This window comes from Homo sapiens, chromosome 20, assembly GCF_000001405.40.
Source record: "Homo sapiens chromosome 20, GRCh38.p14 Primary Assembly".
In the NCBI taxonomy this organism is placed as follows: domain Eukaryota; kingdom Metazoa; phylum Chordata; class Mammalia; order Primates; family Hominidae; genus Homo; species Homo sapiens.
The window spans coordinates 57,668,476-57,690,040 of NC_000020.11; the positions used below are offsets into that span (position 1 = coordinate 57,668,476).

At 52.8% G+C, this 21,565-nt stretch overlaps 1 protein-coding gene across 5 annotated transcripts in view, besides 12 other annotated features; it reads right to left on the reverse strand.

Moving 5' to 3' along the window:
- The window catches only part of PMEPA1 (prostate transmembrane protein, androgen induced 1), a 63,077-nt gene that overhangs the window by 20,080 nt on the left and 21,432 nt on the right, over positions 1-21,565 (reverse strand). The gene's annotated exons all lie outside the window — the stretch shown is intronic.
- Positions 8,302-8,885: an enhancer, noted in NCBI's record as "H3K4me1 hESC enhancer chr20:56251833-56252416 (GRCh37/hg19 assembly coordinates)". NCBI's record gives its function as "activates a minimal SCP1, AML or CMV promoter by ChIP-STARR-seq in naive H9 embryonic stem cells {active_cell/tissue: H9 hESC(naive)}" and the evidence as "EXISTENCE:reporter gene assay evidence [ECO:0000049][PMID:30033119]".
- Positions 9,540-10,056: an enhancer, noted in NCBI's record as "H3K4me1 hESC enhancer chr20:56253071-56253587 (GRCh37/hg19 assembly coordinates)". NCBI's record gives its function as "activates a minimal SCP1, AML or CMV promoter by ChIP-STARR-seq in naive H9 embryonic stem cells {active_cell/tissue: H9 hESC(naive)}" and the evidence as "EXISTENCE:reporter gene assay evidence [ECO:0000049][PMID:30033119]".
- Positions 10,057-10,572: an enhancer, noted in NCBI's record as "H3K4me1 hESC enhancer chr20:56253588-56254103 (GRCh37/hg19 assembly coordinates)". NCBI's record gives its function as "activates a minimal SCP1, AML or CMV promoter by ChIP-STARR-seq in naive H9 embryonic stem cells {active_cell/tissue: H9 hESC(naive)}" and the evidence as "EXISTENCE:reporter gene assay evidence [ECO:0000049][PMID:30033119]".
- Positions 11,137-11,661: an enhancer, noted in NCBI's record as "H3K27ac-H3K4me1 hESC enhancer chr20:56254668-56255192 (GRCh37/hg19 assembly coordinates)". NCBI's record gives its function as "activates a minimal SCP1, AML or CMV promoter by ChIP-STARR-seq in primed H9 embryonic stem cells {active_cell/tissue: H9 hESC(primed)}" and the evidence as "EXISTENCE:reporter gene assay evidence [ECO:0000049][PMID:30033119]".
- Positions 11,662-12,185: an enhancer, noted in NCBI's record as "H3K27ac-H3K4me1 hESC enhancer chr20:56255193-56255716 (GRCh37/hg19 assembly coordinates)". NCBI's record gives its function as "activates a minimal SCP1, AML or CMV promoter by ChIP-STARR-seq in primed H9 embryonic stem cells {active_cell/tissue: H9 hESC(primed)}" and the evidence as "EXISTENCE:reporter gene assay evidence [ECO:0000049][PMID:30033119]".
- Positions 12,012-12,081: an enhancer, noted in NCBI's record as "active region_18169". NCBI's record gives its function as "activates an Ori minimal core promoter by ATAC-STARR-seq in GM12878 lymphoblastoid cells {active_cell/tissue: GM12878}" and the evidence as "EXISTENCE:reporter gene assay evidence [ECO:0000049][PMID:35858748]".
- Positions 12,462-12,571: an enhancer, noted in NCBI's record as "active region_18170". NCBI's record gives its function as "activates an Ori minimal core promoter by ATAC-STARR-seq in GM12878 lymphoblastoid cells {active_cell/tissue: GM12878}" and the evidence as "EXISTENCE:reporter gene assay evidence [ECO:0000049][PMID:35858748]".
- Positions 12,982-13,041: an enhancer, noted in NCBI's record as "active region_18171". NCBI's record gives its function as "activates an Ori minimal core promoter by ATAC-STARR-seq in GM12878 lymphoblastoid cells {active_cell/tissue: GM12878}" and the evidence as "EXISTENCE:reporter gene assay evidence [ECO:0000049][PMID:35858748]".
- Positions 13,132-13,181: an enhancer, noted in NCBI's record as "active region_18172". NCBI's record gives its function as "activates an Ori minimal core promoter by ATAC-STARR-seq in GM12878 lymphoblastoid cells {active_cell/tissue: GM12878}" and the evidence as "EXISTENCE:reporter gene assay evidence [ECO:0000049][PMID:35858748]".
- Positions 13,400-13,563: a silencer, noted in NCBI's record as "fragment chr20:56256931-56257094 (GRCh37/hg19 assembly coordinates)". NCBI's record gives its function as "represses an EF-1alpha promoter that drives an FKBP-Casp9 reporter gene in an ReSE screen in K562 erythroleukemia cells {active_cell/tissue: K562}" and the evidence as "EXISTENCE:reporter gene assay evidence [ECO:0000049][PMID:32094911]".
- Positions 13,400-13,991: a biological region, named in NCBI's record as "H3K4me1 hESC enhancer GRCh37_chr20:56257022-56257522".
- Positions 13,491-13,991: an enhancer, noted in NCBI's record as "H3K4me1 hESC enhancer chr20:56257022-56257522 (GRCh37/hg19 assembly coordinates)". NCBI's record gives its function as "activates a minimal SCP1, AML or CMV promoter by ChIP-STARR-seq in naive H9 embryonic stem cells {active_cell/tissue: H9 hESC(naive)}" and the evidence as "EXISTENCE:reporter gene assay evidence [ECO:0000049][PMID:30033119]".

A 21,565-nucleotide genomic window follows, 5' to 3' on the forward strand; every position in this document is an offset into this window, starting at 1 on the left:
AAGCTCTGGGCTAGGCTCCTCCTACGCCTGTCCCCTGTCCCCACAAGACATGAGCTGCAGGCATCCAAACTCACAGTGGGTGGAGAAGGTTCCCTTAAGCAGGCCCCGGTCCAGCGCCATCACTTATGTGCAGTGTAGGCTGGAGCACCTCTGCAGAGTGAAACAGCAAACTCTGGATATTTTCAGGTGTGAACCTTTGCTCCAGCATATAGACAGCTGGGTGCTGATCACCCATTTCCAGTTCCCCTGGGCTCCTCCCCCATGTGCTCTGTTCCAGCCACTTGTTTTCTGTTCTATAAAAGCACCATGCATGACCCACCTCAGGACCCTGGCACGTGCCATTCTTCCTGCCTGGAATGATTTTTCCTCAATATCTTCATGGCTTGCTCCCTTCATTGCCTTGATCCCGGCCCCCAGGTCCCTGCCTCAGACTAAAACAGCCCTCTGCCCTCCAGCCTCCAGGACCCCCATCCCTGTGCCTGCTTTACTGATCTCTGCAGCCCTGATCTGGAAGCTGTATATGACCCACCCAACACTGCACTCTCTGCCTCTCCCCTCTGGAATATCAGTGGCTCAGAGCGAACTCATTCTCCATGGTGTCCTCAGCACCTAGAATGGTGCCTTCCCCAAGGCAGGCACGTAATGACTACACTGAATAAAAAAGCACATTTATTTATTTATTTATTTATTTATTTATTTATTTTTGAGACAGAGTCTCACTCTGTCGCCCAGGCTGGAGTGCAGTGGTGCAATCTTGACTCACTGCAACCTCCACCTCCTGGTCAGGCAATTCTTGTGCCTCAGCCTCCCAAGTAGCTGGGACTACAGGCACCCGCCAGCACGCCCAGCTAATTTTTGTATTTTGAGTACAGACGGGGTTTCACCATGTTGGACAGGCTGGTCTCGAACTCCTGACCTCAAGGGATCCACCCACCTCGGCCTCCAAAAGTGCTGGGATTACAGGCGTGAGCCACCGCACCCAACTGAAGCTCATTTATTCTGGTGTACACAGATGAGTGTGCAAGAAGGCCCCCTGCAGGTTTGCACAAAAGGTCACAATCAACTGGGAACCACTGAAATGTCCCTGGCAGGGATGACACCACCCTGGGAAGCACAGCCACCGGTCAGTCTGTATCCTCACGGGATGAGCCCAAACTGGGTTAGAAAAGAACAACAAATATGTTTTTAAAAATACAGGTGAAACCTTCTGATACACACCTATATTTATGAGTGACTGTCCACGTCTGCACAGACCAGGGACCAGCAGGGCATGCATGAAACTGCCAGCTGTGGGTCCCTCGAGGAGGGACCACAGACACCAGGGGACATCCCTTCCGTGTAATACATTTCTGCAATCTCAGCATTTTGGAGCACATATAATTATATTTATAGTAAAAGAGGGAAAAAAAAAAGATTTGAGAAGCATCTGTCAGTATCCAAAACAGACAGCTGCTCCCATAACGAGGCTTCCCAGGTGGTCTCTGCGGAGGTGCTGTCACCCTGGGCTGACAAGGGCTGCTGCGGGAGGGGCTCGGAATTAGGGTGGGAAGGCCGGACAGTCTCTGCCTGACCCTAGGAGCACAGATACTGCACTGGGAATGGGTGGGGCAGGGAGGGGCACCTGACCACCCCTCCACGTGCCCTGGCTGAGGGCCCCAAGGTGGCATCCAGGCACCAGACATCTCGCTTCCTGGGCCTTCCCTCTCCTGGCCTGGAGGTAGGGGTGGGGTGGGGGGGGTAGTACATGGAGCCAGGCATGCAGGCTGCCCTGTGGCACCCACCGGTCCACTGTCTCTCCTTCACTGGGCCACTCCAGGGAGGAAGGTGTCTTCTCTAGGCCTCCGTGGTGCAGCACAGCTAATGGGCTGGCAGATGATGGTTCTGAGTGTGCTGTCTCACCACCCGGCCTCAAGCCCCAGGATCCACACTCATGCCCGCTGTCTAGAGACCACTTCCACCTTTTCTTCACCTGGCTGACTCACCACAATCTTTCCTCCCTCCTTCCAACCTCCCTCCCTCCTAGGTGCCAGGATCAAGGCTGACACGCCTGACAAGCCTCCACCCTCAGGTCGCATGCACACCTGCAATGCCCCGTCGGCCTTGGTCTTCCCCTTCCAGGCTCCCACACTAACTCCCACTTGGCCCCCTGCCCTATGGTCTGAGCCTGTCAGGCTGGGTGTGCCTGACTCCGCGTTGTATTCCGTCCCCAGCCAGCACAGACCCAAGGGATTTCAGAGATCAATGAACGGCACATACCTGGCCTCTGTGTGCTTCTCTTTTCACTGGTACCCTGTTCTAGTTTGCAAAGGCCCACTCAGGTTAGGGGCGGGCTGCCTTTTTATACCACCCAGAGAGAACTGTGCAGAACCCCATTCATTTCCGAAGCTTTGGGAGTTCCTGAGCAACACAGAGAAACACGTTCTTCCCCACCGCCCCCCCAACCCCCAACCAGTGTCCCGAGTCATCACACAGGAGGTGGACCTGGAGGAGGATGCAGCGCGGCCGTGGGTGAGCCCTGCGTCTGAAAGTGCATTCAGGGAACAGGAAAGTAAACGGTCTCTAGAATCATTTTAGAACCTGATGATTTTAGAATACTCCTCCAATGAGAAAAGACAAAGCTGTGCCTTTTATCCTTCTTGCTATTATCCAAATGGAAAGAACTAATGGGATTTTTGTTTCTATTGTCACTGACATCGAACACCTTTAAACATCCACTGTCAGCAAAATATCAGTCACCGTTTGAATTATTGGCAGAACGGAGTGAACTCACAGTGAGCGAGCAGTCAGTGGACATGTCGGAGGTGCATAACATCCGAAAGTTATTTAAAATAAACCAAATGTGTTTGTTAATTGAGGAGAGTGGACGACAAATGGGGAACGGGTGGGCGTGGGTGAGTGAGTCCGTGGTGGTGTTGACGGCCACAGTCTTCTTGGAGGATATTGAGCAGTGCCTGTCAACATTACACAAGCACTTCACCTTTCAACCCTGCAAGTTCAACTTCCAGAATCATATCCAGTGGAAAAATTCACAGAAGGGCCCAAAACGTATATATAGATATACACAAAACAAATATGTATATACACACACATATATATCCCTGTTCATATATATATATTGCATGGGGTGTTTTTCAAATGATCAACCAGAGACCATCTAAATGCCACCAAACACACCTTGGTACATCACATTATGGGATGAGGCCATTAAAACTGATGACATAAATCTACGCTGAGCTCTGAGCAGGGGAAACTGAGCTTGGAGCTGGATCATCTCTATTGTGGGGCCGTCCTAAGCAGCAGGGTGTTCAGCAGCAACCTGGGCTCTACCCACTAGAGGCTAGAAGCACCATCAATCCCCATTGCGACACTCAAAAATGTCTCCAGGGATTGCCAAACGCCCCCTGTGGGGCAAGTCACCCCTGGCTAAGAACTGCTGGTCCACTGTCTGGCTCCCAGGAATTGAATCCAATTCAGTCTGATAATGGATGGATGCTGGCAATTATTGTGGGGCAGAAATAATGAAACTGGAATGGTAAATAAAATATGGATCCATTTTTATAGCAAAAATGAGGATAAAAAATTAAATTGTTCATGATGACTTCTTCTAGATGAAGGGGCTATCCCTTTTACTTTTTTGTATTCGTAAATTGTTTGCATTTTTATAACAGGCATAACACTTCTAATTTTTTAAATCTTAATAACATACCAGAAAGACTCTCGCACGCGCACGTGTGTGCCTGCATGCACTCACATGTGTGTTTCCAACCGGCCGACAGTGACGCACGTATGCCCTCGCCACTCGGCAAGCACCTCGTGCTCCTTGGTAACCAGCAGATGTTTCTCTCAATTACTGATTTTCAAGAGCCTGGTGTTTCCTGACATGAGCCAGGATGGCGGGCGGCGCCCAGGGGAGGGGAAGTGAACCGGGGCTCCGTTTCCAAGGCTCTTGGACAAAAAGCGAAGCCCTGGATCAGGAAGCACAATGCGGCTGGTATTTAGCCGCTTCTCAATAGTGCCTCATTCAATCCCCGGGGCCTCATTGATGCCCGCCGCGTGCTGGAGAGCCTCTGAGGGTCAGTCGGCGACGGGCACCGTCTGGAGGGGTCTCGCCGCTAACCCGGGGTGGCTCTGTCTTTCGGGAGCAAGAGGGGCCCAGCTATTCTCGGTCTCCCCTGGGGCAGAGGCAGGGAGGTGGGCAGATGGGCAAGGTCAGGCGTCAGAGAGGCTGGAGGAAGCAGTGAGGGTCTGGGCAGGCCCCTTGCACCATCGGGCTCCCAGGAGTCGAATCCAATTCAGTAAACACTCAGCGGAGTAGCTTAGCGGTTAAAAGGAATCCTGGCGCTGTCCTGCCTGGATCCAACCCCCAGCTCTCCCCATGGCCAAACACAGGGCATCAGGAAGTGATTCGTTCACTCTCTGTGCCTCGGTTTCCACATCTGGAAAAGCGGAATACCACTAGCACCCACGCACGGGTTGCTGTGTGGATGCAGTGGAGTGAAGAGCCATAAAGTACAATGAACGGCACCTGGTGCATACTTAGGTGCGCAGTAAGTATCAGCCGCCAGTAAGAGGGCTGCTCCCTGGGCCCAACATGCCGGTTCTCCTGGGCCCCCGCCCCGACTTCATCACCAATTGCCCCTGACTGTGGTCCAAGCCTCTTGGCCGCCAGCACCCTGGCCGCACTGGGAGCAGAAGGCCTGCCTTCTTGGGGCCACACCTTTGCCCGGGCTGGCCCACCTGCCTGGGGTGCCTGCCCTCCTCCTGCTGCCCATTCTCGGTGGCCTGCGTCTACCCCATTTCCAATGGCCCAGCCCCTGCAGCCACTTCCTTCTCTGGCTGTCTCTGGCAGTTTTAAACTCTCCCATGTGGTGGTTAATTTTGTAAATACCACCCAAGACATCTGCTATGACTTCTAAGAAAATGTCTAAGTCATGACTTAGCCTTTCCTCGGTCTATGTCTTGCTGCCATCGTTGGTGTGGCCACTCTGTCAGATGCAATCGCCTCGTCCTGCAGCCTCCTCAAAGCCGGCATGAGCCCGGCATGCAGGAGTCCAGTCTCTAACTGGTAGACTCCTCTTTAACCCTCAAAGCCCAGGGCTGGTCGCCTGAGAACTGCCACATCCTGCATAGTAGTAGTAACTACTGTGGTGTCAAGCACAGGCCACCACCACGTGGGACTCCCAGCTACAAGGAAAAGAGTGTCCCATCATGAGTGTCCCTTTACCAGTGTCCCTGGCACCTGGTCCACAGCCAGCAAAGAGACCCACAGCCAGTCAACACATGATCAGCCAAGCTACTACCTCCAGAGCAGTACAGAGGCTCACGGTGTGAACCTGGATGTGGCACACACCTGCACCCTAGTCCGGACCCTGCTACCTGCCACCTGAGTGCTACCCTCCCCTCTCTGGGCTTGTTTTCCCACCTTCAGACCCCAAGAGCAAATGGGGCCTCACTCATGCAACCAACATGGGAGTTCCATAGTAAATGCCTCTCCCAAAGCCTGACAAGTGGTGGCCACTATTGGGTTGTTGCTAATAGTAACATTATAGAGGTGGCCATTCCCACCTCCCTTCCCAAACCCTCTGTTTGGAGCAGAAAGCAAAGGACCTCGTGTTATAGACCTCTGTGCCCCTCCAACATATGTTGAAGCCCTGACCCCTGGTGTGGCTGCATGTAAAGACGGAGCCTCTAGGGAAGTAATTAAGGTTAAAAGAGGTCATAAAGGTGGGGGCCTGATCCAACAGGATTAGTGACCTGATAAGAAGAGACAGCATAGAGCTCATTCTCTCCCCCCTCCTTCCATGTGCTGGCACCAAGGAACGGCCATGTGAGGACGCAGCCAGGAGGTGGCCATCTACAAGCCACAAAGCAGTTCTCACCAGAACCCAAACTTGCTGGCCCCTTGATCTTGGACTTCCCAACCTCCAGAACTGCAGGAAAACAAATGTCTACTGTCTAAGCCACACAGTCCGGGGTTATTTTATTACAGCGGCCTGAGCAGAATAATACACCTTGTTTAGACAGACAGAGGGGGCTGAACAGAGGGAAATGAGCTGCAAGGTGAGGAGGCAGGACCCCTGCCCTGGATGATGGACTTGCAGAATCCCAGCTACACCCCTTTGGGACAGAATATTAGCAACCTGCCCTCTGTCTCCATGCAGGGACGCCCAGGGGGATGTCTTATTTTATTTTCCATGAAAGACATTTTCTTCTGTCATCTAAATCTATCCTCAGGCCCTTTCCCTTCCTATTCCCTCACTGCGGCAGCGCATATATTTATCGTGCCCCTGCTGTATGCCAGGCCCTGCATGAGCACTGAGAATTCACGATGATTGAGGCCAGGCCTCAGGAGCGAGGGCACGCAAATTCTACTGTGATCTGTCCTCTCTGGAGCACAGCAATTTGATCCTGTACCCCAGAAATCAGGCTGGACTTATATCTGGACAGATGAATGTGGACATACGAGGAATAGCTTGGAATCTTCTAAAGCCGTTCTGACCACAGTGAACGTGCAGTAGGTACAGTGAGCTCCTGCTGTGTTTCATGCCCCATATGGAGGGGTTTCTGTCATCTCATTTAATTTTCTCAGCAGCTTCCCAGGAAGTACGCTTGTCTTATTATCATCCCATTTTTGGGATAAGGAATCTGAGGCTCGGAGAGGTGCAACAATGTCACCGCCCACCCTCCACCCGTCCCGCCCAGAAAAGTCACAGAAGTTCAGGTGGCAAGGGCCAGACTTTCCCTGTGCCTGGGACACAGAGCCCGGTGCTGTGATATCTGTTCTCACTAGTCACAAGAGTGGACAACAAACTCAAAACAAAGTACCCACCCCGAAAAGCAGCCTCCAGCAGCCCCGACCCCTCCACCGGCAGCCATGCCTTCACCTCCTCCGACCTCTTGGAAGCAGCAAAAGGCAAGGCCTGAGTCCGTCAGGAGCCCGACTGAGCTGGAAGGTCACTGCCATCATGACCCACGTGCCCCCCAACCATGCCAACTTGCTGACCCTAGCCTGGCGCTTGGCTCATCACCTTCATGTGGGGCTCAGAGGCCCAGGAAGACCCCTGGCCCACAGGCGGGGCATTCCTTGCTACGAGTGTTTTCCGGTTTGGGGGAGGAGGGTCTAGGAAATGCTGCTGGCCACACTGACAGTCGGCCCCTGAATGGATTGCCGGGCCCAGCGGCAGCTTGAGGAGGGAAGGAGCTCAGATGGGAAGGGCGACCTCGCTAGAGAGGGGGCTCCAGGGCAGCAAACGTGTCCAAGGGTGTCTGTGTGTCTGCCTCCCACCTTTGATTGTTTGGGGGTGTGTCCTTTCCTCTGGGGCATCTGTCTGTCTGTCTGTCTCCGGTGTGTGACTGTCTGGGGTCTAAATCCGTTGAGTCTTTCCCTGTGTCTCCATCTGTATGAGTCTCTTCCTCTTTCTTTTTCAGGCAACGTGAAAAACAGATTCCAAGAAGGAAGTTCTAAGCCTCCCAGACATCAGCCGCCTCTCCCTGTCCCCGCCCCACAGGCGAGGCTATTCCAGCCCTTGCTATCACTTCCTTTCGAAGCAGCATCTTCCAGAAGCAGAAAATCCCAAATTCTGGGAAGACGAGGTTCTGACCAACTGTTCTGCGAAGGCAGCAGGGGAAGCTTCCGGAGGTGTCTTTTCTCTGAGCGTCGAGATGGGGACACAGCAAAGCTGTGGAAGGCAGGGAGCCTGGCTCTGGATTCGAATCCAGATGCAGCCACCTGCTGTATGTGTGGTGTCTGTGGTGACCTGGCCCCTTGCCTCAGCTTCTTCACAGTAAGGCACGAATCAACAACAGTACCTGCCTCACAGGACTGCTTAAGGGTGAACTCAACAGGGACATAGGTACTAGCTCTCGGAACGCTAGCTGGTACACAGCAAGTGCATAATAAATGGTGATCATCATGACATGGCAAAGCAGGCATCATGACATGGCAAAGCATGCATGCTGACCGGGCAAGCATGGTGAATGCGTCAAGGATGTCAGGCGCACGTTTATTAACGATCTGGAGTGACTGATACTGAGCAGGTAAATTCAATTTATAGAATCACAACTGGTACGAAAAGAGGAAGAAAGAGAAATGGTGAGAAAACTCAAGAAACCAGAAACATCCATCAGAAGACAGACCTAGATGGGAGCTCACGGTCCAGCTGCAGAGGCTCAAGGGGCCGACTGGCTGGGGATCAGCTCTCCTGCCCTCGAGGGGCGGAGCTGTGGGAGAGCCACTGGGAGCTGGACCCCCCATGACGAGAGGCCTCCTTGCACTGCTGAGCACCCACACAGAGACCCTGTGGCCAAAGGAGGAGGAGAGAGAACCTTGGCGTTCATCCCTCAAGAGCAGAAGGTTTCTCCACGTGGCCTCCTTGTCTCCCTACTTCCTCTCTTGCAAACACACCCCCCGTCTATTCTCCACCCTGCAGCCGGAACAATCTTTAAAAAAAATCAAGTCTCTGACTTCCCACACTATGCTCAGGTTAAAACCCTGCGAGGCCCACCCCACCTCACCACTGCACTTCCCATCTCCTTCCTCGCTCACCATGCGCCAGCCAGCCTGGCCTTTCGCCTGCTCCCACCCCAAGGCCTTTGCACATGCAGTTTTGTCTGTGGGAAGACTTGCCCTGGGTCTGTCATCCCACATGTGCTCTCACCTCTTCTCTTACTCTGCATCGCCTGGTGGCCTGTCTTGGTCACGAGGGGCAGTGCAGAGTATGGTCAGGAGCATGGATTATTCTGGCTGTGGGAGCAGCTGTGTGTCTCCACTTCCTTGTCTGTACCATGGAGTGAACTATGGCCCCGTCTCATTGGGTTGTTTGAGGATCGTAAAGAACCCAGAAAGCACCTGGTGTGTAGGAAGCACTGAGTACGTGTTGGCTGCTATGAGAAACCATCTTCTTTCTAAGTGCTTGCTTGTTCATTGTCAAGTGCACCTCACCAGCAAGAAAGCGCCTCGATGACCCTTATTTACCCTGGCGCTGTATCCGTGAGGGCTAACACCACACCTGACACAAGAAGTGGCCCTCGATTAACATGTGAAAGAGGAAGGAATCTCTGCAAAATGTCCATTCCCCAGCACTCGCATCTTTCCACCAAAGCCAGAGACCAGAGGAGGGCATGGATGTGAATGGAAACTGAAGGGTCTTTCAAAAACTAAATCTGCAACTCCCATCCGACCCAGCAATTGCACTCCTGGGCATTTATCCCAGAGAAATGAAGACTTAATGTTCACACAAAAACCTGTGCATGAGTGTTCACGGCAGCTTTACTTTTCATAGCAAAAACAAACAAACAAACAAAAAAAACTGGAAGCAATCCAGATGTCCCTCAACAGGTGAATGGTTAAACTAACCATGGTGCATTCATACCTTGGAACACTACGCAGCAACAAGAAGGAATGAACTACTGACACCTACAGCAACGTGGAGACATCTTCAGAGAATTACGTTAAGTGAAAAAAGCCAATTTCAAAAGGCTAGATAGTGTATGACTCCATTTCTATAACATGCTTAAAATAACAATATTATAGAAATGGAGAAGAGATTAGTGGTTTCATGGGTAAGGGGGTGGATACAGTTAGAAAAGGGTAGAATGAGATGTTCTTGTGATGGGACTGTTGTGTCTTGACTGGTGGTTACACAAATCTACGCATACAATAAAACTGCATTGAACGAAACACACACACAGACACACACACTCGAATGAGTGTGTGTAAAACTGGGGAAAGGTAAGGTTGATGGTTTGTGACAAATGTCAACTGCTGGCTTTGGCACTGTACTACAGTTATGTAAGACGGTACCATTGGGGGAAGCTGGAGGATATCTACATAGAACCTCTCTGTATTATTTTTTACAACCGCATGCTAACAAACAATTGTCTCAAAATAAAAAGTTTTCTGAAAACAAGTGAACGGTCTGGGAGTGCCCTGTCCCTTGGCATCACCAGAATCGCCCTGGCAGAGGCTGAGGCCAGCAGCCTTAAGCGGTCCTTAGGGCCTGGCCCAGGCCTGGCACTGGGGGAGGGGGTTAGTTTCCTGCAAAGGGAGGGTAAGAGCCGAAACAGAAGCCGCTTCCCTCTCTCGCAGCCTCCCTCGCCTCCCGCTCACAGCATCTGCCATCTGGCTGCTGCAGCCACACGAAACCATCTCTCGGCTGTCATCTCTCCACTTGCAGGTCTGGCTCCCAGGTTTGAAGATTAAATTCTAAACACGTCATTTAAAATTTAGAAACGAGGAAAGGAGATTTTAAGTAATCTGGAAGCACTGGCTCCTATTGTCTGCCCCAAGTAATAAGCATGGAACCTCCAACCTCTGTCTTAAAGGTGACAAGAGCCAGGGGAGGGAGAGCAGCTTGGGATTCCCCGATGTAAAGTGTCACTGCCTCCCCAATACAATCAAATACTCCCAAAAGGATGTCCCAAACTACCACTGTACCCCCAAGAGAAAGCATCACTGTAAAGTATCAACATATTGTTCAGGAAGAACTGCGGACGTCTCTGCCAGTGAGCACTTCAGGCACAGAAGAGCCAGGAACTGCAGGGATCTCTGAACAACACGAGTGTTTTTGAAGAAGAGTCCTCCTCTGTCTTCTCCAGAACATGGAACAGAACTAGAGCAGGTTTGTGATAATGAGCACCTAGGAGCGGGGACCTCCTTAAATGATCTGGTTAGGGACAGCCTTTCGGAGGAGGTGGCTTTTCAGCAGAGACCTTAAATATGAGGAGAGTTGGGGAAAAAACACTCCTGGCCAAACAATGGCAAGTGCAAATGCCCTGAGGTAGGAAACCTTTGTCTCATTCAAGGGCAAGAAACCCTACCTCCTGGGGCATAGCATGAAGATACAATGAGGAGCTAGCTGCTTTGGGGCTTGGCAAAGCTGCACTGAGACTTCCTGCAGGTGGCCATGGGTGTGTATTGGGGCAAAGGCAGCATAGACAACGTGAACTTGAAACGATTCAGGTATCATTTTCCAGTGTGACTCTCCAAACACGGCACACATCAGACCTGCTGGGGAAGCTCCTTTCAGACAATGCGGGAGCCGTGTCCAACAGGCTGAAATTGACATCGTTCAGTGGCGGGTTCCGGGACCTGCAGGGAATGGACTTACAAGCGCCCGCTATGGATGAACAGATTCCAACCAGGCGCTCGCTTCCTTAGTGAAGGAACCACTTGTTCAATTATGAAGCCCAGGATGTGAAAGCAACTGCTGGAGCCACATAGGTGAATTTGTTATGCTGGAAGGGGGTGGTCACCTGGCACTGTGAGTGGCTCAGAGATCCCTAAGTGATCAGAATTGTAAACGACCCAGGGGAAAACCTTGGGAAAAAACTCACCCTCTTAGATACTGAGTTTCTAGGGGAGGAGAGTGGCTTAGAAGCCCCTAAAATGGGTCAGATGAGAAAAGGACAGGGCCAGAGAGGGGGAGGGAGTTGCCCAGAGACACAGAGCAACCGTGCAAAGCTGGCTAGAGCCAGAGCCTGCGCCTTCCAGTTCCTTGGGTACAGGCTGTCCACGCAGGCATCCCTGGTGGGAGTGAGGGTCACAATGGCTGTGACCTTGACCATCTTTGCAAGGTGAGCCTAGCTTGTGGCATGGAGTCTGGCTTGCACTGCAAGCCCCAGGGAACCGTCGGGGGATGAGTGGATGGTAAAAACGACTTCTGCCCGTCAGACACTCAGACACACCAGCGGGGAGAGCTGCAGCCACTCCAGCTTTAGCTGGGTTGTGCTAAGAGCTTTAAGTGCATTATATCATTCAAAGCTCCCAAGGAGCCGCTTTGGGGAGTCCCGTCAACACCCGCATTCTGCAGATGAAGGGACTGGGACCTCAAGGGCAGCTGCTAGGGCTAAGGTGTGGTTCTTCTACCGGAGATGATTTTGCCCCAGGGGACATCTGGCCATATCTGGAAACACTTGTGGTTGCCACAACTGGGAGGGGGTGTTACTAGCATCCAGTGGGCGAGGGGAAGTAGCTAAACATCCACCCTGCCACGCACAGGGAAGTCCCCCACAGAAAAGAATTATTGAGCCCAAACGTCAGCACCAAGGTCGAGAAACTCTGGATTAAATCAGATGATAGTGAATATCTCAGGCACAGTGCCGGGTGCATAGTGCTTGCTCAATAAACATTAGCTAGGCAACAGCTGATTCCTAATTAGGCCTCAATGTGAAGACAGAAGCAGGGACTGAAACCACACACAACCGGTTTGAAGAATAACAACAACTTAGTCTAAAAACATCTGCTTTGAAAGCAAACGCTTAGGAAAGGGCAGTTGTTCATTTCACACTTGGATTGTACATTTCTGTAGGCTGGAGTCGCAACCACCTTGATCACCGATCAACGCACACTGGCACCAACCACCATGCCAGACACACAGGAGGCACTTCGTAAATGCTTGTGAAATGAATACATGGGTGAGGGAAAGTGGCGGAGAGCAGTCTGCGTGAGGACGTAAGCACAGGTCCTTCTCTGGAGGCAGGAGAATGAAAATCATCCCACGGGTCGGGGCCGGGTCAGTGAGGAAGGGAGGGAAGGAGTTCTGAGAATGTCAATCTGCAGGACAACTTCTAGTTTCCACCTTTTGCATGAGGGATTTCCAAGTGCCCCAGGGCCTGGGAGTCCCCATTCATCAACCCTGGGTGCTACCAGGGACAGGGCCCATTGTGATTTGTGAGGCCTGCCTGAGTGCTGGTGGGGCAGGGGTGAGGCAGGCGCCCATGCTCCTTCCTGACCTCTCCAGCACGCTCCATCCACTTGCATGGAATCACGGCAGTGGGGAATGAGAAACACCCCTCCATCACTGCCACTGGGAACCCCCGTCCCTCCAAACCTGCCGCCTGCCTGAGCTCCTGAGGGCACCCTCACCCTGCATGGGCCTCCTTCCTGCCAGGGAGGGAGCCCTGTGCGAGGCAACCAGGGGTTGCCCCGGAGCCAGTCCCACTTCTGCCATCTGCGGGTGACAGCGAGAGACCTCTCTAGGGTGTCCCCTGCCTGAGACGACCGTGAGGATGGTGTGGCGCTGCCTCTTACAAGGGTGGTCCCAGCATCAAGAAGGGAACGGCCCTCCCAGACCTTTCACTGCTTAAAATAACCAACTTTTTAATTTAGCAACCATTGTCGTTTCACGTTCAATTCTGTAAGCAATAATAGAGCTCTCCACGTACCCTCCACCTCCTCCCCTGCTGGCAGCACCTTACAAAACTCGATTCTCTGTGGTTTTCCCAGAATCAGAACTTGTGTACGCTTTAGTCACCCCCTCATTTTACAGAAGAAGGAACTGCAACCTGGTCAGTCCCCCCTCAAGGTGACACGGCCAGCTGGGAACTGGACATGGCCACCACACCTAGCTTAGCAGACCTCACCCTCTCGGCTTCTCCTCTCTGCCTGAGGTACTCCCCCCAAGGTCTTCCCACCGCTGACTCCTTCTCATCCCTCATTCTCAGCACAAGGTCAGCCCTGCTGAGAGACCCTCTCAGACCAATAAAGCAGCCCCCAGGCACAGTCATGTGACACTGTCGAATCTCCTCCTCCGTTCAGTATCTGACTCTGTTTCCCATCTGCACCAGACTAGTAGCTCCCTGAGGGCAGGCTCAGGCCTGTTCCATTCACCAGGTCCTCCCATCTCCAGTGGCACAGGGAAGGAGCTCACCTACTGGATAAATGAACAGAAGATGGGTGATTCGCCCAAATACCGGGTCTGTCCTCCTTCCTTAGGTCACTATTACACACAGACAGACACAGCTACCTTCGATGGGAGGTGACGGCGTAGCAAAGGCTCCCAGTGGGAATGAAGGCTTGAGCTGAGTGTGAATGGTGCTCAGAGCGGGGGACCAGCTCCACCAGCGGTTCCCTGTGTGACCTTGGGCAAGCTGTTCTCTGAGCCTCGGTGGTTTCATCCATAAAATGGGGAAATGACAGCCCGCTGCCCTTGCATACCTAAGCACAAAGTCACTGGTAACTAGGGGCCCAGGTTCTGGGTCTCCCTGGAGTGTCGGGGTCCTAGGCGCCGGCCCAGAGGAGTTTCAAAGTCAGCCTTTAACTGCCCTCCCAGTAAAGAGGCTGCTGAATGCTACAGAGCAGGCTCCCGTGCCCACCGCCCCACACCTGGAAGACGAAAGGACACGAGAAGGAGAGGCACAGCTGCGTCGCTGGCTGTGACCCACACTCCTCCAGTTTTTGATTTAAAAAAAATCCCTGAAACAGCACCCACTCCCTGTCAAGTCTGTGTCCCCATCGCCAGCAGAAACCAACTCCTCCTGGAGGAAGGAAAGTTCAATGGATGAGCTATAAATATTTCTGCTAGATGCTGCCTGGGAGCTGGGCTTTCTGCATGAGCAGGCCCCGCTGAAAAGGAAGGCGGCTCGCCAGATTTGTTTCGAATTATGAAAATAGATGTTGTCTCCCCACCACATCTGTTTTGCCTGACAAATGAGCAGCAGCTCGCCTCCTAAATAAGGCAGCACACCAAGACGGTCTTGAAACTCCGGCTTCTCCAACTCTTCAGAAAAGGAGAAGAAGAAGAAAAAAGAGTCCAAGCCTCCCAGGTTTGAGCTCTAAAAGCCAGACCTTTTTCAATGTCATCTCTCACGCCGCAGTCTCCGGGGGCATTTACGCCACACTTGTCCTTAAGCTCAGATCTCCCTGAGCAGGTAGAGGCTGCTCACGTTAGAGGGCACGGATATCCCCCACTGCTTTTTAAAAAGAAAAAGAAGGCCAGGAGACACGCGATCAATTATAAAAAGTGCAAAGAAAGGAAAGCTCCCTAAACTCAAGCCAAGGGTGCGTTTTTGATGTGCTGAGAGAGGCCAGTTTTTGGAGGGAAACATCAATACTGTTGCCATTCAGTTCTCTATGCCATGCTGGCCTGGTGACTTGGGTTAATATAATCATTTTCCTTTAATTACTCCAGGAAAGACCCAATTACAGCGCAGACGCATCTGCCAGCCTGAGGATCCAATATTTAATAGCCCATCCTTCAGGAACATTCCTGCTTGGGAGCTTCCTGGAGCGAGCAGCCCTGCATGCATTACGAACTTGCATTACTATACTAACTCGGTGGTGGTGTTCTGGCCTGTGTGCGTGTGTGTGTGTGTGTGTGTGTGTGTGTGTTTCTTTTAAAAGTCTCTTCCCCTGAAAATACTTCATGTTGATATTTCTTCTTAAAGATGCTGTAATTATGAGAGAGCAGAAAGAACCCCCGAATGACTGTATAACTTGAAATATTACAAGCACAGTCACCCCACTTCCCCACTCCGCGGGGAAATTTACAGGCTTCCAGGCTGCCACCAAGAGGGAAGGACTAGAGCCCAGCAGCTCTCAGAGTTCTTGGAGTTCTCGGCCTCCGAAGCACACTGTCCAGCCACCTGCACAAAGTCCATCATAAACCCATGCGGGGCACAATGGGAGTAGCTGCTCAACAGACCACTCCTGCCTGTGGGCTGTCTGTTTTGGGGGTAGAAATAAAAAGATCTGGCCAAGAAACCTGGAGTGTTATGGGATGTCCTTCTCTATCTCCTGCAGACGAAATGTCCCACCACGCCCCACCCCCGGCTCCGCAACACCGCAGTCAAGTAGGCTGATAGGTTAGACTCGCTTCATCTGGCAGAAATGAGACGCAGTTTAGGGATCCCAGGAGACATCTGGTCAGCTGCCCACGCCTGACTCCCCCTCCCCAGCTTTTGTGCCCCCTACCAAGTAAAAACCGGAGGGCAGATTGATGACTGCGGGAGGGGAGGCGGGTGGAAATTTATGGCTTTGCAGCAGGTCAATGGTAATGACAATAGTTTTCACGGGTGGGGGTCGGGGAGTTAGGGGTCTAGCTGGGAGGGGGGCAGGGTGACTTCTCTCCACCCCGCAGCCCTCGCTCCAGAAGGGAACTCGGAAGCCTGCTTCCCTCCTGACCTGAACATGTAGCGGGCCTGGAAGTCAACTGAATTTCCCAAGTCCACTGGGCTGTGTAGCTGCCTAAGAAGGAGGGGGGCTCTGAGAACCGCCCCCACCACCCACTGCAGAGTCTGAAGGAGCCAAAGTGGGACCACTTTCTGGTTGCTGGCAGGACGATGCCTATTTGGCCTCTGCACCGGTTCCTGTTGGGCGGGTGATGGGTGATTGGGGGGCCCGGGAGACCCTCCACCCCCATAGCTTGCCAGTTTTTCACTGCGGTAACAATGACCTAGTCGCTATGGCAATGAGGTTAATTAATGCATCTATTTGGCAGAACTAAAACCTCGGACGCATTCAACTAGCCCTGATATTTTCATCCTTAAGAAGCCAACCTCTGGTGTTTTATTTGTCTAGGCATGTAGGCATGCCACAAAACAAAACATTGCCACAAAAGGAGGAGCTGTAAGAAGAAATGGGGGAAGTTGTGGGGAGGAGCTGGGAGGGGGGGGTCTCTGCCCACCCCTCAGAGAGAAGAAAACCTGGAATGTCACTTTTCCTTTTTCGATGATGGTATAAAATTAGCACAGTCAAGTAAATGTGTTATAAACACAAAGATGCTGCCAGGAGGCAAAGTGCCTTCATTTAAGGAGAGGAAGAATGGCTGAGGGGTTTTAGAAAGGGGGCTGGGTGGTCAAACGGTTGGAGGGGGTGCCGTCTGCAACCCTCCCAAGTACTGTAACCAGAGGGAAAAGCCATTTCCCCCGAGAACGTGCATCTGCAGAACGTCTAGACAGTCATAAAGAGGACAATTAAAAAAAGAAAAAAGCTGCAAGCCGCAGTCACTCTCCTCGCCAGGGTACCCACCCGGCTGCAACCTCCAGCTAACTGCCCGAGCAGGTGAAAAATTATAAAAGCAAGAAAAGCCAGTGTGGGCTAGGAGGAGGCCGGGGAGTCTGGGCCGAAAACAGTTTATGAGCAAGTGTTTTGAAATCCCGCTTTAAATAAGCCGGTAAATGAATTCAACCTTGTCAGATCTCTCTCCCCTCACGCAGACCAAATATTCCGCTGGCGTGCTGTCTAGACACAGATAACAAAGGACTTTTTACAGCGCACAGAGACGCGCTGACAAAGTAGCCATTTAAAGATGCAGTATTGCTTTCTCGGCCTAAAACGATTTGTCAGATGGACTTAAATGAAAATGCTAAGTTATCGGTCTGGTTTGGGGTCTGCTGGTGGACTGGCTGGGGGGAGGGGGCTGGCTGCTCCAGAGAACTAGAAACCATCATCTGTGATTGGGCTGCCCTCCAGGTCGCTCTTAAAATAGGACTGTACGTGGCCGCCCAGCAAATAATTCTGGCTCTTCTTGTTCTGGGAAGGCGCCTGCTAAGATGTCTCTAACACCTAGTAGCAGCAATTTTGTTGTAGCACTGTTCACTTAAAGGGGGCGTGTGGCAAAAAAAGGTTACATGAAAATGCATGGGGGAGAACTTGTTTCCACCTGCTCCGGGTGGACCAGAACCAAGAGGAGAGGAATCTGGTCTCACCTCCAACTTTGCATTTTAGCCCTTCTCATACAAAGGGTCACTATAAAATGAGTCACCCTCCCTTCCCAGGAAAGAAAGACAGGGTTGGAGGTGGGCTGGCTGCAAGGGTGTGGCCCGGGGACACACTCAGGGTGACACCCAAACACCCTCTAAACTGGGGAGTGGGCCTCCATGCAGCCAAGGTTCCAAGGGAGGAAGAACAGCATCCAGGAGCTCCCAGAGCCTCAACACAAGCCGTGCGCTGACCTCTCCTTCAGGTTACACTCCGGGGCAGCCGGACAGGGGTGGTTCTCCTAAATGGGGGAACTAGTTTCTTCCCCTGGGACTGTCAGCTTCCAATCTAGAGAAAGACCTGCTGCCTGCCAGATGCCCAGTGAGGGCTCATTCACTCCAGCGACCTTTCTCTGATGGGGTGCCGGCCAAGCGGTCACTTCCTTTCCATGCCTGCCCTGCTCATGGCAGCTTCTATATGAGACTGGTCTGCTCTCCTTCCTCTGTCTTTCCTTCCTGTCCTCCCTTCCTTCCTTTTTCTCTCTCAAATGTTGTAAAGCCCAGACGCTGGAACCAGACAAAGCCCATCTCCACCACCTTCAGGCTGTGTGGTCCAAGGGAAGTCACCTCCCTGAGCCTCAGTTTACCCTGCTGTGAAATGGGGTCTCAACCACCTGTCCTAAAGAGCTGTTGTGAGGATTAAATGCCCTTGTGCATTAAACCCACTAACCAGCCACTAACACGGCATCCACCGGCCTCTTTCAACAGCGAGGCCCTGGGCAGGCTCCTTCCCCCTCTCTGGGCCTCAAGGCCCTCACCTGTGAGATGGAGTGACCAGAAGTACCTGCCTCAATCCCATGCAATGAAGAGGAGATGACAGTGCACACCAAAGAGTGGAGCTCAGTGCTGGACCCGCAGTGAACACCCCACAAACAAAACCATGGTCAGGCTTAGGATCCCCACCAAAAACAGCTGTCTACACTAATCCCGTGGGAAGGACAGTGCACCAGGGAGATACACCCAGAGGACTTCTCCAGCTGCTCCTTACAGCAGCCTCCCAAAAGGGTGATGGGCTATGTCAGAGGACTGCAGAGTTTTCCCCCATTTCTGTTTTTGGTTTCCGCACTCTCATTTTTAATAATTGCTTTTAAACGACTGTTCCTAATCTTCGCTCCTCTTGCAGCAAGCAGCCCACAAGCTCTGCCGTCTGTGGGCACAGCCTCTGGTTCTGCCCCAGACGTGGATGTGTAGGTTCTAGAACCGATCTGCCAACGCGGAGGAATGAGTTCAAGATGTGGAGCAATGTTCTTTTTCCGTTAAGGGGTTCAACTGAGCGACTTCCTTCTTCTCCAGGTGATCTCCTGTGCCTGGGGCACCTGTGCCTGGGGCTGGTCCAAGGCTCCGCAAGATAGCACATCAGTGAAGTGACCCAGAAGCCACTGACTCAGCCCTGCCATTTAACAGAGGGACCCCAAGGCCAGAGGGGACATGACTTGCCCAGAGCAACCCAACCAGGTCAGGAAAGAACCCAGGTGCTTTTTGCATGTGTGACTTCCCCTACACATACCTACAGCCACTCCCTGGTCTGGCAACCACGACTGACATTACTAATCAATTGCCACACTCCTTCTCAAAGAGCCCAGCCCTGCCTCCAGGAGCTTCCTCTCCCCACTGCACCAGGAAGGCTCTATCCATCAGGCAAATACAACTTTTTTGGCCAACTCTTCCCCAAACATAGTCATGGGGTGGTTGACCTGAAAAGAAAGGATAAAATACTCAGAAGAAAGATGAGAAATCCAGCAGGACAAGATCAGGGGCATTTGGGGAGCAACTGACACAGCTGGGCTCCAGGAGTCACCAGAAATATCCACAGCAATGTCCAGCCTCTGCACCTGTGCTACAGGGCCCTGCTCAGCCTGCCCTTCTCAACTCCAAGCTGACCCAAGCTTGCCCAAACTCATTTCCAGCCCACAAGGGCCCCCAGCAGGGCTCCTGAGCCATGAGCTCTCTCTAGTCTATGGGTTCCCTGTCCAGGGAAGTAAGTCTGAACCTGCATCTAGATCGGGCCCTGACATTGGATCCACCCTGGGTTCAGTGTCTTTCCCTCTTCCCCTCTCACTGTGAGCACCATAAGGTCAGGCCGGGTGGTTCAGGCCTCTCTGCTACCTCTGCCCTCATCTCGGGACGGCCTCAGCTCAGCCTCCGCCTCGGGACGGCCTCAGCTCAGCCTCCACCAGCTTTGAATTCCCCAGGGGAGTAGGCACCTGGGTGTTTCTCCCCATTCCAAGATTTCTCCGTTTTCCTCCTCAGGTCAGTGCAACTACTTTCTATTTAGCCTCATGTGAGTAATTATGCAGGGAGCAAGTTGGAGAGGGGGGTGTCTGGGGCCTGGATTGAGTTAAATCAGGGTTCCTCAACCTCCACCTGCCTGACCTTAGGAAGGAGACACTTCTTTGTGGGGTGGGCTGTTCTGGGCATGGCAGGCTGTTGAGTTGCATCCCTGGCCTCTACCTACTAGACGCCTACGGGGTAGGCACTTCCTCCATGCCCCAGGTTGTGACAACCAAAAAGTCTCCAGACACTGCCAATGTCCCTAGGGGGCAGTTGAGAACCCCAGAGTTAGAGTATCAGGAAGCCACAAAGAACGGCAGGCAGCAAGGGCTGAATGACTACCACATCATCATCCTCAGCACCCAGTGGTCGACCTCACTCTGCCAGGCAGGGAACTTTGTGCCAGGCAGAGCCTCACATTCATTCTCCCTAAGGAATCACGGCAAATGCTCACATTCCCATTTGACAGATGAGGCGACCGAGGCTAAAAGAGGTACAGGCCTTGGATAGGCAAACACTAAGCCTAGAGCCAGGGAATCAAACTGGAGATTCTGCCTCTCTCCTGGGTCAGTACTTGGAGCTTCTTGTCACTAACGGCCATGAGGACAAGGTGGCTTCGGGGATGTTCCCGCCTGTCCTCCCCTTTACGAGGCACCCAGGCATGGTGAGCATTCCCTGAGCGGGTGGGGGTGGGAATTCTGCATCTTTCCCCAGGGGTTTCTTTGGCTCAGACCTGGCTGAGCGCTGCCTCTGGGCCTTCGATCCCCGCTGGCAGCCCGCCCCAGACTTATTGGCACAGGCTGTGGGGTTTTATTTAGACGGTGTCAGCTAAACAGCTCTGGGCGCATGGGCCCGAGTGGGCGTCAGCTTGATTGGGTTTCAAAACGCGTTTCTGTTTGGGAGCTGCCTCTATCATTAGAAATTGGTGCACGTTTTGTTGGTAGGGCTGGTCACTCGCTGGGCAGGCGGAGGGAGAACTGGCCGCCTCCTTTGAAGCCAGTTTCCCCTCACCCACTACCCACCCCCTCTCTTCTATCTCGGCCCAAATCCCACTTTCTGGGGCCCTCCCCCAACTCCTGACCCTTCGGAACAAAGGGAGCATGAGTGTCTAGACCGCCAGTCTGAACGTGAGAAGGGGGTATTGTGTGACCAGGACAGAGGCCTGGCCTTCCCAGGCAGAAAGGTCGGCTGGGGAGTGGGGCGAGGTGAGGGGTGACTCTGGCCTGGTCCACCTCTGTGGCAACAGACACCACCCCGTTCCTCCTGGGGAGTCCAGCATCGGACCCAGCACCGGGAATCGGACCTAGGTCAGTGCCAAGATGGGACAGTCTCCAAATGAAACTCGGGGAATCCTCTTTGCCCGTCGCTAAAGGAACTAGTTCAAGGAGAGTCCTCACAACTGTGCCCACATAAATAGCTGTTTCTCATGATGATCAGCTTAGAAGCTTCAAGTACATTCCCAGCTCCGGGGACAAGGGGACCCAGGGGCCGCCCTGAATCTGCCTCCCAGGGCCATGGGGAGATGCTCCTGCCTCCTACTCACCCTCTCTGGGTCTCAGGGACCTGTCGTAAAAAGAGAGGCTGTGGCCTTTCAGACGTGTTTGACCACAGAAGCCTTTGATTGTGAATCAAAGTCTGATTCAGCAGCTCTATATATCGGAGGGACACAGACACGGCGCTGCTGGGGCTGACGTGGGTCCCAGGGGCCAGTGGCTGCATCGCCCGGCAGCAGCCGAGGTCCATGGGGCACTTACTGTGTGCGAGGCATTTGCTGAGCTTCTCCCAACACCCGATGCACTCCTCACCTCAGCTCCAC